Source organism: Homo sapiens, chromosome 6, assembly GCF_000001405.40.
Source record: "Homo sapiens chromosome 6, GRCh38.p14 Primary Assembly".
NCBI classification, from domain to species: domain Eukaryota; kingdom Metazoa; phylum Chordata; class Mammalia; order Primates; family Hominidae; genus Homo; species Homo sapiens.
The window spans coordinates 112,283,556-112,300,414 of record NC_000006.12 but is presented as its reverse complement, the minus strand read 5'-3'; the positions used below and the strand labels follow the sequence as shown (position 1 = coordinate 112,300,414).

General features: G+C 40.2%; 2 long non-coding RNA genes across 4 annotated transcripts in view; one reads left to right on the top strand and one right to left on the bottom strand.

Moving 5' to 3' along the window:
* LAMA4-AS1 (LAMA4 antisense RNA 1) overlaps positions 1 to 16,859 on the bottom strand; it is a 70,088-nt gene that overhangs the window by 6,269 nt on the left and 46,960 nt on the right. The window lies entirely within an intron of this gene.
* Positions 1,315 to 15,891, top strand: LOC107986632 (uncharacterized). 3 transcript variants are annotated; one of them, XR_001744298.2, is made up of 3 exons: positions 1,315 to 1,554; positions 11,300 to 11,386; positions 12,975 to 15,891. It is a non-coding gene; the product is annotated as an uncharacterized LOC107986632 (long non-coding RNA). The 3 variants fall into 3 exon arrangements; XR_007059712.1 differs by lacking the exon at positions 11,300 to 11,386; XR_007059711.1 differs by lacking the exon at positions 1,315 to 1,554 and having other exon boundaries at positions 11,099 to 11,386.

Sequence of the window (16,859 nt, the reverse complement as noted above, 5' to 3'; positions counted from 1 at the left end):
TCAGAGGGATCCACAGGACCCTGCAGCGGGAACACAATAGACATGTGCTGCACTTCTGGAAATCCAGAAGGAGAGAGAGAGGTCAGCAGGCGGCTTTCATGGCAGAACAGGCAGAAAGTTGAGGCTCTGTGGGAAGAAACTGGCTCCCCTCTGACAGATGATCACAGGTCTGTGAAATTCAAGGACCAGATGTAGTAGGTATGGTGGGCATACCCAAAGATGACCTCCAATGAGTCATGATTCTTCTGTACAATCCCCTCCTGTTTAATGTAGGCAGAGCCTGTATCTTGCTTCTGGTCAATAGCATATGACAAAGGTAGTTGGATGTCACTCCCTTGATTATGTTACATGGTGTGGAAAAGGAACGGGATGTCTCTACCTTGGTTAGGCAAAGGTGATAGGATAGTCACTCCCATCATTACATTACATCCATATAGGTAAACCAGTTAGATTATCTTTCTGTCTTTGCAAGACATCTGATCAAAGGACCTAAGAGAGGAAGCTAAGAGAGCAAAGAACTGCAAGTGGCCTCCAGGAGCTGAGAGAAGACCCCAGCTGACAACCAGCAAGAAAACAAGGACCTCAGTCCTACAACTGCCCAGAACTGAATTCCAACAAGAACCACAAGCACTTGGAAGAGGACCCCAAGCTCCAGAGAGGATGCAGCCCATCAGACATCTTGATTGCAGCATTGTGAGGACTTGAGTAGAGGAGCCTGCTTAAGCCAGGCCCAGACTCATGACCCACAGAAACTGAGATTAAAAAATATATATGTGTTGTTTTAATCCACTGAGATTGTAGTCACTTTTTATACAGCAATAGAAAACTAATATAAAAGGAATGTTGCTCTGGGATAGTATCAAAGTGAATCCTGCCCAGAGCCCAAAGGGGTCCCAACAGCAGGAAATGTGTGGGGCTGGTCATCTTCTACAAGCAGAAGCTGACTGAGAATTGGAAGCAGCCTGCCCAAGGACAACATGAACAGCCCATAGTATCCCAGGGGCTGGAGAGAGGTACCTGATGATAGTGGTCTCCAAAGAACTCACACGTAGGGAAAGACTCAGGTGAACTGTCTGCCAAGACTATAGCACTCAAAGCCACCTAAACCCCGGAAGAATTTCCTATTCCCTAAGCCAGTGATGTGTTAATAAAACAGCTCTCCAAGGGCAGGGATGGGGAAGCCTTGATCTGAAATATTTGCTAGTCTCTGTGGTGTAGATACACCCACCATGACTAATCTCAAGCTACCAGCAGTTTAACAACCAGCTTATAACATTCCTGATATTTAAGTGGCTCTCAGGAGGCAATACTTTCACACATCACAACCACCTCCACTTCCCCATACCTTCCCTTCCACCTTCCACCCTGAGGAATCAGCCAGCCTGAAGGAGTGGGGCAGAGAGCAGAAGCCTGCCCTTCCATAACAGATCTGCGGCTGGGAGGGAGAGGAGAAGGGACTTCTCCTAGAATGGAAATGGTGTGCTGATTCATACCTTGGACTAGACATTTAGAAATTTGAGACTTCTTGTGACTTAAACTGCCTGTTCTACCAGAGTAAGTAAAAGTTCATGGGATCTTCCCAGATTTACACACACACACACGCACACACACACACAGAGAGAGAGAGAGAGAGAGAGAGAGAAATATAATGTGGTAAGAAATTAATTTTCTCTGTAGGTTAACTATCCAAGACACAGATAAAAATTGCAGAGCTAATGTTTTCTTTTTTAAAACTGCTTTTAAATATTCCCCTCGTTTCTCAAGAAGGCCTTAATGTCTGAGGTGACTTGTACATTCTTAAGTTCTAAATAGAAGAATGAACAGTTAAATGACTGAGTGAATTCGCTTTCCTAATGTGCTTCTCTGTTTGAAAGCTGCTGCTGATGCTCAGGAAGCCCAGGCGTTAATGCTGCTCGCCTATGAAGGCGAGCATGAAGGTGCAATACTGGGAGGAATCTCAGGAGAACGCCAGGGGAAAATCATGAAATTTTAAAAGCAGTGAGAACTGAGTGCCTTTGCATACCTAAGTGGAACTGACAGCTAAATGGGAAGAGACATGGGAGCTAAGCATGAATATTTGCTCCAGGAAACTCACAGGGTACAACAGAGGAAAGAAACTTAAGCCTTGGGTGGAGTTAGACCTCTGGGGTCAAGATGAATGTGTTTGCATTATTTCCACTGGATTTCCACCCAGAAGCTCTCTGGTGAGTCATCTGGGAGCAGTTTGTGCAGTTGCTAAGGGTTACCCTTCTTTCAGAATATTCTCCCAGGGATGGAGGCCCTGAAATTTCCCTCCCTGTATGCTGAGTTCGGGAAGAGTAGCATTTAGTTATATATCAAACAGCTAGACAGGAGTACCACAGGGCAGATGTTCTTTGTATCACATTATTATGGTACTTCTTCTGCCTTCTGATATGGTTTGGCTCTGTGTCCCCACCAAATCTCGTCTGGAACTGTAATCCTCAGGTGTCCAGGGAGGGACCCACTGGGAGGTGGTTGGATAATGGGGGTGGTTTTTCCCATGCTGTTCTTGTGATGGTGAGTGATTTCTCATGAGATCTGATGGTTCATAAGTGGAAGTTTCCCTTGCACACTCTCTCTTTCCTGCCACCTTGTGAAGAAGGTACTTGCTTCTCCTTCGCCTTCTGCCATTATTGTAAGTGACCTGAGGCCTCCCTAGCCATGCGGAACTGTGAGTCAATTAAACCTCTTTTCTTTCTAAATTACCCAGTCTCAGATATTTCTTTATAGCTGTGTGAAATGGACTAATACACTTTCATTAATTCTACTCAAGTGACACTCTGGCAAATAAACAGTTTAATAGAAGGAGCACCACAGTAATAAGTTTCTGACATATTTATATCTTCATAGAATTTTTGGACTACCCTTGCTTTTAGCTGCTCACCTTAATTCTCCCTTCACTGAGAAAATAGAAGCAGTTAGAGGAAAATATCCGCAGGCTTCTACCAAAGTATCTACCTACATTCTCCATGTTCCCGTCTCTTCCATAGATGAAATTTCCGTTTTTCTGTGAGCCCCACCCACCCTTTATGTAATAGATCCCATCCCTTTTGCCTAATGGAGAATATCAATCTGCCAGTTCTCCTCTCTATCTCCAACACCATTCATTTTACACTGTCTGTTGGGTCATTCTACCAGGACTCAAACACGCTATTTTTTGTCTTACCTTAAATAGAAAAAAAAAAACTACACACACTCGTTTGGCCTCACCTTCCTACCAGCTCCTGCCCCATTCCTTTGCTCCCCTTGGCAGCAAATCACCTGGCTGTCTAGTTTCTTTCCTCAAATTCTGTCTTGAATCCACTCAATCAGGCTTTTGCCCTTACCACTCAACTGAACTGTTCTTGACAAAGTCATCAGTAATAGCCATATTACTGAATCCATTGGTCAGTGCTCATTGATTATCTTACTTGATCTGTCAGGTCAGTATGTGCCAAAGTCTGTCTTTCACTCTTCCTTAATACAGTTACTCTGTGTGGTTTCCAGGACAACACATTCTTGGCTTTCCTTCTTCCTACCAGGCTGCTTCTTTTCAGTCTCCTTGATTGGTTCTTCTGCTTCCCCCTGATGACTTAGTGTTAGAAAGAGCCCCAAGACCCAGTCCTTGGCCTCTTCTCTTTGCCAGCTACCCTCTCTCCCTTGGTGATCTCTAGTCCTATGACCCTTACACATCATTTACATGCTGATGACTCCTAAATTTATATCTCCAAGGCAGATCTCTCTCCAAATTTCTAGGCCCACATAGCCAGTTGTCTCCTCCATATCTCCACTTGGAGCTTAACTTCTCAGACTTAACATTTGAAACTGAGCTCGTAATCTTCCTTCCAAAGCTGCTCCTGCCTGCAATCTTCTCCATCTCTGTGGGGTAAGACCTTGGAGTTATCCTTGACTCTTCTTCTCTCCCCACATCCCCTCACAACAAATCAGGAGATCATGCTGGCTTTACATACAGAATATATCAAGAGTGACTACTTTCCACCACCCCTACTGCTCCCAGGACTGTCCCAGTTGCTGTCCTCTCTCATCTGGGTTACTATAATAGCCTCCTAGTCTCCTGGCATCCACACTGTTGCCCCCTAGTGTCCTCTGCAACACAACAGCCAGTGATTCATTTGAAACAAGTTGTTATCCTCTGCTGTCATCATGCCACAGTACTCTAGCCTGGGTGACAGAGCGAGACTCTCTCTTTTAAAACAACAACAGTAACAAAAACCTACGGTCCTACAAATTCCCTAGCAAGACAATTCTTTCCTCAAGGGAGGCTAGTGCAGATTCTTCAAGCCAGGGGAGATGCTTTCTCTGTTAAAGAAGAAAAGCCACTTCTACTGGTAACGTAAGCTGAATTCAAAAGTTCAATTTCTTCAGCTACATTAGAGTTGACTTGCATGTTCTCATCCCAGTTTTGCCGGTCACTGCTTCGCAAATAATACTGAAATTTCAATGTAAGATATCCTGAGAGGTTTTGAATTCAATTTACTACTTCTGGGCAGCATATTAATTATATCATATGGGTTTCACTGTGCAATGTTTTTGTTTTTATTTTATTATTATTATTATTATGATTATTATTATTTGAGAGAAAGAGAGTTTTGCTCTCGTCACCCAGACTGGAGTGTAATGGTGCTACCTTAGCTCACTGCAACCTCTGCCTCCCAGGTTCAAGTGATTCTCCTGCCTCAGCCTCCCAAGTAGCAGGAATTACAGGCACTTGCCACCATGCCCAGCTAATTTTTGTACTTTTAGTAGAGATGGGATTTCACCATGTTGGCCAGGCTACTTTCGAACTGCACTGTATTTTCTGTTGTTAATTTTTCCATAGTTTGTAATTTCGGGTTTGATATGCCTGTTAAACCAAGAGATATGTGAAAGCGTGCTTTTAAATCTTTAAATATTTATATTTAAGAAAAAAACTATTCAAATCTTGTTAACGTCTACTTTTGTTGCACTGTTGTAAGATAATATGTTGTGCATGGTCTCTTCTTGAACATGGTGAGACTTTATTTGAGGTCTGATACATGGACAATGTTTATAAACTGCCCCTGTGTGTTTGAAAGCAAATGCATTCTCAACTTTTTTTTTTTTTTTTAAGAGACAGGGGTCTCACTTTGTAGCTCAGGCCGGAGTGCTAGTAGTACAATCATAGCTCACTGCAGCCTCAAACTTCTAGGCTTAAGCGAACTTCTTACCTCAGCCTCCCAAGAAGCTGGAACTAAGGCATATACCACCATGCCCAGCTATTTTTTCTTTTCTTTTTTTTTATAGAAACAGGAGGTCTCACTATGTTGTCTAGGCTGGTCTCAAACTCCTGGCCTCAAGTGATCTTTTCACCTTGGCCTCCCAGAGTTCTGGAATTATAGGCATGAGCCACCCAGCCACATTGTCTACTTTTAGAGCTGGTTGTTATGTTAATTTTATCAAATTCCCTCTGGATTTACATATTTTGTGTTGACTTGATTTATCCATTTCTGACCAAAGTATATTGAAGTTTATACTTGTGGATCTATAAAACAAACAAAAAACATCTGTGCTGGTTCCCATCACATACAGAGAGAAAGCCCAAGTCCTACAGTGGCTGCAAAGCCCTCACTGCCTCAGTTACTCCTCTGGCTTCTTTTCCTACTCTTCTCCTAGCTTACTGATCACTTCATTCCTCACAGTGAGGCCTCCTCACAGCTCCCCAAATGTCACCATTGCTCTTTCCCTCTACTTGGAATGTCCCACCACCCCACCCCTATCCCCACTTCAGGATCCACTGAGCTAAATCTCTTACCTCCTTGGAATCTTTGCTCAAATCTTACCTATTCAGATGGGTCCATCCTTTCACCCTATTTAATATGCAACTTCTCCATACCCCCAAGTGGCTGGTCCAACCCATCTTACCCTGCTCTTTTTTTTTTTATTTTTTTCCATAGCATTTATATCACACTCTAACATACTATGCAATTTACTTATTTTGTTTATTCTTTAAGGTCTATCTTCCCTAACTGAATGTAAAATTGATTAGAGATCGATATTTGTCTGTTTTGTTCACTAATGTGAACTAAAGCTCTAGAACTTCGCTCGGTACATAGTAAGGTCTTAATAAACATTTGACAAACTATTTTAATAACCTATTCTTATACCAAGGCTTCAGTTTGGATCATTTCAGGAAATGTTCATTGCATTCTAAGACTTTTCTCAATCCTCTATTGGGAAAAGTAAATAAGCTGTACATTAGCAATAGGTCTTATTACAAGATCATATCACAATGCCTCTACCTTTTACTTATTTGATTTAAAACAATAATTTAGGCCACCTAAAATTATGCCATTGCTTCTCAAAAGATTCCCCATGGTCAGTGTTTCTGACTGCTTTTTTGCTCACTGTCCTTATTGAGAATCCTCAACAATATGTACATACATGTATTTTCCTTCAATTTCAGAGAGTCCAAGGAACTCCTGACATCTCCTCATAAATCTCATGCAGCCCAGTGAGAGGCTTCATGCACACATACACTCACAGAGACATATACATACACACATGACCTCTCTAATTTCACTCTTTCATTACTCGTATGTTTTTTAAAGATCTCTGTAACATTTTTCCAAGTTGGGCATTTTTTTTTCCTGTTTATTGAAATAACCTTGCAGTGTTTCCATTTCCCAAGAAGCTTGCAAGTATACGCTGACCATATGAAAATCCTGCTGGAAATGTATCATGTGCAAATTTTCACTTCAAAGCAAAAGGAATGCAAAATGCTGTGGAAATAATTCCCTCACTCATAAATATTTAATAAGCCTTTAGAGTCATTGAAATCAAGTGGCAAACTTACAATATACTATATTTAAAAATAAAATATATGGGTTTCATGCAATTCTTTAAGTGAAAAACTATTCAACATATCAGTTTTATTCCTTACACTCAGGATCACTTCAGTCTTATTAAGTAGTATATTCCTGTTTTTTTTTTTTTTTTTGAGATGGAGTCTTGCTCTGTTGCCCAGGCTGGAGTACAGTGACATGATCTCACTGCAGCCTCTGCCTTCCAGGTTCAAGCCATTCTCCTGCCTCAGCCTCCCGTGTAGCTGGGGTTACAGGCATGCACCACCACCTCCAGCTCATTTTTGTATTTTTAGTAGAGACAGGGTTTTAGCATGTTGGCCAGGCCGGTCTTGAACTCCTGAATTCAAGTGATCCACCTGCCTCGGTCTCCTAGAGTGCTGGGATTTCAGGTGTGAGCCACAGTGCCCAGCCAGTAGTATATTCTTTATTACAAAAGATAATTCTGGCTGTCTATGATATCTGAGCAATGCTCTCTATAAAAAAAATTTAGAAGTCTATATCAAGGAAATGTCATAGGCAAGCTCTGTTTGTCCTGTAGACAAGTAATTTTGCAATACCTGGAGTATTTAAAAATATCCTGTGGCACCTGACAATTATGCAGCTTCCTTGGCTCCACCACAGTCCTGCTGAATCTAAATATCCCAGGTGGGGCCCAGCCACATATATTAAAAAAAAAAAAAATCCAGATGAGTTTTTCAAAATAAGTTGAGAAACACCGCATAAACAGTGGGAAGCCATGCTTTTTGTTTTGCTTTTTAGTTGTTGTTTTAGAAAAATTGTTGATTTGTAGAAATGTAGCTAAGATAGCATAGAGTTTCCTTATGCCTTTCACCCAGCTTTCCCTAATCTTTATATCTGCTAGACCCACAGAACATTTGTAAAAAACTGAAATTAACATTGGCACATTACCATTAACGAACTACAGATTTCGTTCACATTTGACCACTAATGTCCTTTACTTTCAAGGGATCTGGTCCAGGGTATGACCTTGCTTGTATTCATCGTGCCTCCTTAGTCATCTTCAATCTGTGAAAGTTACTCAATCTTTCTTGTTTTTACTGGCTTTGACACTCTTTAGGAGTGTCAGATATTTTGTAGAACATCCCTCAATTTCGGTGTGTCTGAAGTTTTCTTAAGATTTGGGAAAAGAATCCCTGAAATGATTAAATATTAGAGTGAGGTAGAAGGAAGACTTGAAGGACTCTGATGTTTTAAGATGCAATAGACCTGTCAACAGTGAGAACATTTACCAATGTCCATAAAAAGCACAAATCAAAAGACAGGCTTTAGAAAGAAGATAATGGTTTTAGCTCTGGCTGTGCTGAGTTTGAGGTGCTTCAGGTCTTCCAGCTAAAGCAGTTCCACACTTATTTGGAAGTCTGTGTCTGGTGCCTAGATGAGAAGATCAAGCTGGAGGCAGGAATTGTAGAGAAAATGGTGGCGCTCAAGCCAAGAGATTGGGTGACATCACTCAGGGGGACTTGCAAAGCTGATGAAAAGAACAACAAATAGGTTGGAAATTCAGATAACATTTAAGATTTGGGCAGGGAAAGAGGTACTAGCAAAGGATACAGGGAGGAAAAAAAGTAGTTCAAGAGCTAAGAAGACAACCAGATATGAGTAGTGTCTAGAAAGTAAACATAGCAGAGAGTTGTGAGAATGGGGTGCTGCTGTCATAAAAAATAAAAAAATTTCCAAAGGACCAAAAGAGATGAGGACACTAAGGTAACAAATGTCACCCCTCCTTCTAAGAATGTGAAGGTGAAAAGAAACCAGAAGCATAGTGTGGCATCTTGAGCAGAAGTTATGGTAGAAAAGAGATATTATTTCCTTTCTTTCTTTCCTCATTAGGATCAAGGAGACTGAGAAGCCAAAGGGTTGGAGGTGAGAAGGCTCAGAAGGCTGACAGAAATCTGACCAGGACAGTTGTGTCTCTTGACTTTCAAGTTACCTTTGTAGCCCAAAAGCTTAGGGAGGAATAATTGTGCAATGAGAAAAAAAAAAAAAAGGAAATTCTTAGTGTGGGTTAGGCAAAAGCAGAGCTAACAGAAGATACTGTGAGATTTCACAATTACCCGTAGGGAATAAAAGAGAAAATAATAAAGAATGTCATTTATTTAAAAGGTTTAGTGTTTGGGGAAGCTTTTGTCATACAAAATTGAAGCTATCATTTTAAAATCTAGGATTACTTGAAAAAAAAAGCATAAGAATACAACTTTATGCTTTTTACCCATGATACAGTTTTTGAAGTCAGTCAACCTATAATGTTCAAGTGGTTCAAGAACAATAATACAATGTGTTTCCTGAGGGTTTCAAAAATGAAATGACCTTGACTATGGATGGAACTCCAGTTAGCCACTATAATTCTGTAAGCAACATCTAAATATCAAAAGAAAAATTGACATTTCATTCTTCATGTGGGAGTAAAGGTTTTAATCTTGTCTGAACTAACAACAACTGATTCATACACTTTATAGAAGGACATATTGAAAACATAAATAATACTGAACTGAAATATAGACTATTTATTAAATGGCTCTTTAAAAAAACAATGATGTGAGTTACAGAAGTTTACTCTTCCCTTTTGCAGTGCAACTTGAAATTTGTTTTGATGCGAACAAATATACATTTATTTACAAGAAAAAAGAAATATTTAAATTACATTTACTTTTTCAAATTAAGGTACGAACACTGGTTTAAATCAAACCTTAACTGAACACAAATAGAAATTCTTCTCTACACTCCTCACTTACTCTACTATACCAGTCCATACTTTATTACGACGGAAGTATGTTCTGTACAAGAGCCTCCATGGTGAGTAGTGAGAGGTAGAGACTTGAGTCTAATTCCAGTTCCATTGCCAAGTGGCAAGCCACTACCTTCTCTGGATTTCAGTTGAAATACATTTTCCAGATTTTTTTATTGCTGTCTCCTATATTAAACACTATCTCCTGTATTATGTTAATCCATTCTCTTTTCCGAGAAGCAGAGAGATAACATTTTCTAATGGGGAGAGTAAGGCAAAAAGAAGTTCATTGACTGACAGGAGTTTGAGACCAGCCTGGCCAACATGGTGAAACCCCATCTCTACCAAAAATACAAAAATTAGCCAGGCATGGTGGTGCATGCCTGTCATTCCAGCTATTCGAGAGGCTGAGGCACAAGAATCACTTGAACCGGGGAGGTGGAGGTTGCAGTGAGCCGAGATCACGCCACTGCACTCCAGCCTCGGCGATGGAGTGAGACTCCATCTCAAAAAAAAAAAAAAAAGAAGTTTATTGACTGAGTACAAAGAACAAAGACATCAAGAGAGATGGAGGCGAAACACAAGCTGTCAGTCAACACCAGCATTGTACATTGTGGCTAACAGGATATGCTCTGCACTGCCAGAGTTCAAATCCAGCCTTTGTCACTTACTGGCTAGAGCCCTAGTGTGAGTTATTTAACTTCGTATTCCCATCTCAAAAATGAGGTAATTATAGATTTTACTGCTTAGGGTTGTTGTGAGGATTCAAGGAGCTAATATGAAAAAAATGCTTACAAGAAAATGGTAAATATAAGAAAAATGATCATACATGAAAAGACAAAAAAACTAACTTTCCATATTATTTGCACTAGCTTTCTTATATTTAATCTTCAATGGCTTCAATGTCTTGCAATAGGAACATGTTAGTCAAACATGGCGTAGATTGAACTACTGCTCAAAAAGACACTCAACCAGGGGCAGGTTAATGTTCGAAGTGGCTTAAAGATTATACAACTGGGGAGGCCATGTTTAAGAAACTGAAGACAGAATGATGAATTATGAATGCAACAGGGCCGCTGCCTGCCAGAATCCAGGCACTTATGCAGCCCGAAGCCCAGGCATCATCAGCCCCCAGGTACAGCCACCTCTGCGCTCCTCCTTCACATTATATGCACAGCATGTTGCAGTGACTTGGAAGCTCTCTTGGTACCCTTGCTGTAAAACAGAACAAATGTAAGAATTCTGCTACAGATTGGCTACAGCATAATCCTGACTCCACTGAGAGGTTCTTGGACCCTGTAAGATTCAAGGCTGAGAGACTCCCAGAATGCTCGAAGTTGGAAGAGACCCACTAGATGCTTTTACTATTAAAGCATGCTCTACGTGCAGGCCCAGAGGCCGGCTTTGTAATTGCTGGGTCCTGAAATCCAGAAAAAGCAGGCGGGAGTTGTGATGTTGCCAAAGAACAGGGCCCCCAAGCAGCTGCCTGTGGTGTGTGTGTGTGTTTAGAGCCAGCTTTCTCAGACAGTGCTTGGGGAGGGCTCAAGTTACTGAACTCCTGGGAGAAGTTAGCCTTTATTTATGCCAAAAGAATATAGCTGAGAAGGGAAAAGATAGAGGATTGGGTAAGAGAGAGGGAAGCAAAATATATTTCCTGTCTGTCCTCTTGAAAGGCAATGAGACATTGTCCCTAATGGCTTCACTCTGACAGAGACAACACTCCCTGAGGACTCCACTGTTAGGCAGTGAGCAAGAGCTGGGCCTTTGGAGAAGAGGAGCATATGAAGGCAAACAGCCAGTGAGATAATTTTTTTTAAATTGTTCTTGCAAACTATCCAAAACTTCTGCAGTGTATTTGTCTACATTAATCAAATTTTATATACTAATAGAATTTCCTTTCCTTAGGGTGGAGGGGTGAGGGAATGGTGTTGTAGAAGAAGAAAAAGAATATTATAATTATCTTTGTAATGCATCTATGAAACTCCTTCTCTTTTGTGGCAGGCAACAAAGTTTAGTGATTAGCATGGGTTTTGGGTGCTGGGCCTGGCTCCATCACTTTTCAGCTGCATCCTGGACAAAGGGTAGCCTTTCTTTTTTCTTTTTCCACCAAGGCTGGAGTGCAGTGCTATAATCATAGTTCATTGCAGCCTGGAACTCCTGGGCTCAAGTGATCCTTGGGCCTCCCAAAGTACTGGGATTACAGACATGAGTCACACCATTTTTAATTTCAGTTTCCTTATAAGCAAAACAGAAAGAAACATGGTACCTACCTCACAATAGTGGCAGGAAGATTGAATAAGACAAACCAAGCTCCTGGCAAGGTACCTAGTATCTACTAAGTGTTCTAAAAGTGTAGCTATTATTATTTCCATTATGCATGACTTGATCTTTTCTTAATCTAATGTATCAATCACTTAGCCGATCAAAGGAAATATGGCCTGAAATTTTCTGGAGAGTAACAGTTACTAAATCCTTTTTATTCTTTATTATTCATTTGTTTCTCAAATTGTAGACTTATTAATTTTTAAATGTAAAAAGTCACCCACTAAAGGCCCCCAAGTTGAACAATTCTATAAGCTATGACTGAAATTACTTTAAGAGATGATACCCTAGAAAAGAACACAATGTTTGAAAATTTGTCATTAACATCTTATTAAAGCTGTTCTGTATGTTTGAGTTTCAGCCTTCCTAAAATCCGTCCTTGGAAGGACATCCGGACTTGGAGCAGAAACAGAAAGTGTGGTCCTTGGCCTCTGAGGAGCTTATAATTTAATAGAGCAACTGGCTCTCCACAGCATCACATAAATAAACATAACAGAAGCACATAAGCAAACATTTATACATAGCTGAGCACAGCTGCATAGGTTTACACAGGTGCTAAATAGCATATCAGGGAAAGAAAAATTAAGAAAGTGAAGATTATTACATGCTTGACAACTGGAATATAGATCAATGTAAGTTTTGAAAGCCTTCATGGTACTAAATACAGTTGACCACTGAACAACACGGGTTTGAACTATGAGAGTTCACTTCTACTGGGATTTTTCCCAACCAAACACTAACAAAAGTACAGTATTAGCCAAGAAGAGGGATGGGGAATGTATCCTGGAACCAATCCCCCATGTATACAGAAGGGTGACTGTAGTATGTTGAGGCTAAGGCAGTTCAAAGATTAGCAAAGCAAAAAGAAATTCCAAATTATGGAAAGAACGGTAATAATGGATTAAAAATAAGTGAGGTTGAACTATTGATGACAATTATTTATAACTAACATATTATAACTAACATTTGAGCCCTTCCAATACCAAGAATTCAGCTTTACATAAATTATCTCATTTAAGTCTCACAACAACCCAATAAGATTGTGTCATTGTTTAATTTTACAGATGAGGAAACGGAGGCTCAGGGAAATTAAATGGCTTGACCAAAATTCATGTGTAAGTGTCAGCAAGTGCCTATACTGGGATTTGAACCTAAGTCTGTCTGACTCCAAATCGGCAGTCCTAAGCTATTGCTCCACTTCCCTGCTTTGTACACCAGAAAGGTAAGAGACACAAATGGGGCTATTTGAAAAACAAACAGCAGGATGAACAACTAGTTGATATGCCCCTTCAAGGCCCAAATGAAGAGCATGATTGGACCAGACTGTGTGGAAGAGGACAAAGAGGTAGGAGCAAGAAAGAGGAGCCTCTGGATGAGCAGAAGCCAGTAAAGGGACACCAATGGCACATATCCATCTTCCAACTAAAGCATTACAGGCTAACTCTTTTTTTCCATCATTGAGCAAGTTGCTTTGACCCACACACTCCCTAAAAACACTGCAGCAGCATCATACCACACAGTGGAAGAAATCTCATCCCAAATATGCACATAGATAACCAGAGAGACTACTGGTTATCCACTTGGTGACCTGGCCAACTGGCAACTGAACTGGAAAAACATCTGCTGACCTAAAAACTACTCTACCAGGCAACTTTCTCTCAATGAGTTCCCTGTAAAACATTCTCTGTTAACCTACTCATTAGTATAAGAGTGAGTCTTTGGGAAAAGATGTACCTGGACTCAAGTCCAGGCTCTAACACCTACTGACTCTGTGACCTTGAACAAGATTCGTATGTGTGCTAGGCATCATTTGTAATGCATGCATAATAATTCTATCCTAGGATTACAGGGAGGATTAACTGAGATGATACATGAGAAACAGTCCAGTGCTTGGGCTCTAATAAGTGCTCAAACAGATTAGCTGTTGTTACTTAAAAATTATGGCAAGTAAAGCCCTTTATAAGCTCTTCAAAGCAGTCAAAGATATCCATTTTTACTTTACTAGTGAAATCAGCAATGTGATTCTTATATTAGAGATATAAAAATCTGGCATTTAGGGCATTTGCATTAGACAAGTATATTTTTGCTTGGAGTAGCACTATGTATTCATGTGAGATAAAGAACTATCTAGATTGCCATATATTGGAACTCCAGTAACCAAATCCTATAGCTGCTGTGGTCTAGGGTGGCTGGCTACCCTTGCTAATTTAAACATTTTCTCTCAGGCTATTGGTTTCCTTCTGGCTTCCTGTGATGCTATCTCAGACACAATTGCAACCAGGTTTGCGGTGCGGTTTAATGACACATTTCATGAGGTTTTGTTTTGGTGTTGCTCTGTCAAAATGATGTGGGGGATAAGGGAGTGCAATCTATTGCAGCTGTTTGTTATCACTCAGATAAGCCTGAGAAGCTTCCCAATTAACCTTAGTGTGTCATAAAGCCAATCAGTACATGAAAACAAGAATTTCTCATTTACTGAAATGATATTTGCCTTGTAATTGCTGTCTGGGAATGTTGAACCAAGTAGAAAACATTAAGGAAACTGCACTCCTCCCCACAAATTTAAGCTTGGTGATTGTTAAAAATAAAAATAAAAAAGACCAAGAATACTGTAGTCCCAGCTACTTAGGAGGCTGAGACAGGAGAATTGTTTGAACCCGGGAGGTGGAGGTTGCAGTGAGCCGAGATCATGCCACTGCACACCAGCCTGGGCGACAGAGCAAGACTCCATCTCAAAAAAAAAAGACCAAGAATATTATTTGGTAGTCTAGCTGTTTTGTCCTGGTTTCAAGGCACCACATGTCTTTTGATGTAAAATAATATACTAAAACATGCTTACAGCTTAAAACCTGAAATAAATTTGTGGAGTATATTAATGTTTTCATCAATCCTGGTAATGAGGTATAAGAAATTAATTTGGAAAATGTATTTTCCTTACATAAATTTTGGTCTTTTCAGAGAAAGAAAACAAAGTAAAAGAAATGCAGCCTTTATACGAATAAGGGATGTATCACACAGCACCATAAAAATTAATAAGGCAATTGTCCAATCACTAGATGCCATTTTTTGAGGTCTTATTGTGTACCTATCAGTGTACATAGTCTGGATGGACAATATAAGATTAAGGGTAAGAGGACTAACATCATTCCTTTTGTGTCTAGTAGGCCCTCAAATATTTATTGAGATGAACTGAGTTTAACTGAATTGAGCTAAATTTACTTGAATGAGCACAATGAGACGTTGCCACTATACTAAAATCTACAGTCTAGCCATGGAATTAAAGTATGTATATATGCGTGACATTTTTTAAAATACAGCCAGTAAATAAAAACATGCAACTATCATTTTTTTATTTTAAAATAACTGTAGACACATAGGAAGTCAGAAAAAGAGTTCACAGAGTCCAGTGAACTCTTACCCAAGCTTCCAAGCTACCATTTTCCATTACTGTAGTACAATATCAAAACCAGGAAGTTGACATTTGCACAATAATGCTAACTAGACTACAGGCTTCATTCAGTTTTCAGCAGTTTTTACCTGCCACTCAGTTGGGGAGAGGGGGCATTATGTGTGGGGGTATGAACAAGTAAGTGTGAGTAAGTATAGTCTTTTGCAAAATTGAATCCCCTGTATGGATTCCTGTAACCACCATCACAATCAGGATACAGAATGGTTCTATTGCCATAAAGCAATGAGCAGGGCCTACCCCTTTGTACTCACACCACCTTCTTCACTGTCTCCTGGTAACCACTAATCTGTTCTCTATTTCTATCATTTTGTCATTTCAAGAATGTTATATAAATAGAATCATATAGTATGCAAACTTTTGAGATTGGTTTTTTCACTAAGCATAATGCCCATGAAATCCCTCCAAGTTGTTGCATGTGCCAATCATTTGTTCATCTTATTGCTGAAGAGTATTCCATGATATAGACACACCAGTTTGTTTAACCATTTACCCATTAAAGGACATTTGTGTTATTTCCAATTTTTGGTTATTACAGTTTAGCTGCTATGAGCATTCATGTACTATTTTTTTGCCAACCTACATTTTCATTTCTCCGGGATAAATGCCAGGAGTGCAAATGCTGGGTGTCAGGCTGAACACCTATTAACCTCAATAGAGATGGCACCAGGTTCAAGAGGCTGAAGAAGAGACTCAGACAGCAAATGAGACATGGGGTTTTATTTAGGGCTTATATTTAGGGGAGAGAGTCCCGTGGCAGCAGGCTAGACAGGAGAACTACACAGCCCAGTGGAGGTGGGCTGGGCAAGAAAACTGCAACAGCTTGCAAAAAGCATCCAGTTTATTACAGCATTTTCACTTAGCACCCTTTCTCTAAAACTTCCACCTGGCAACCTTCATTCAACCCAAAACCTGGAGCTTCAATATCCTGTGTGGCTGGTGTTCCATGGGATGAGCCGGAGACCCAGACGTTCCACATAGAAAAAGAATTAATCTTCAGGTTGTCTGCTCCCAGCTTCCCTAGCTAGGAACATACATTCAGGTGTCTCTGCCACACAGGGTCATTATCAGAGTATGCCTAAGTTATTGTGATCAGATGCATTTACCCTACTCTGGGTCACATAATAGTTGCATGGTTAGCTTTTAAGAAATTGCCATTCATTCCCACCATACGTACGCCATACATATCGGAAAACTAGTTTTTCCACATTCTCTCCAGCATTTAATGTTATCACCATTGTTTATTTTAGCCATTCTGGTAGGTATGCAGTAATATCGCATTGTGGTTTTTAACTGCTTTTTGCCAATACACAATACTTAAAAGATGTCAGAGGAGAGTTGATTGATTGCCAAATTGTATGGATGAATTTTCTCCTCTCTTCTAGTAGTTCTCAATCTTGGTGTTCTATTAGAATCACCTGAGAAGCTCTAACACCATTCCAGAGCCCAGGCCACACCTCAGACCAATTAAATACAAACCTCT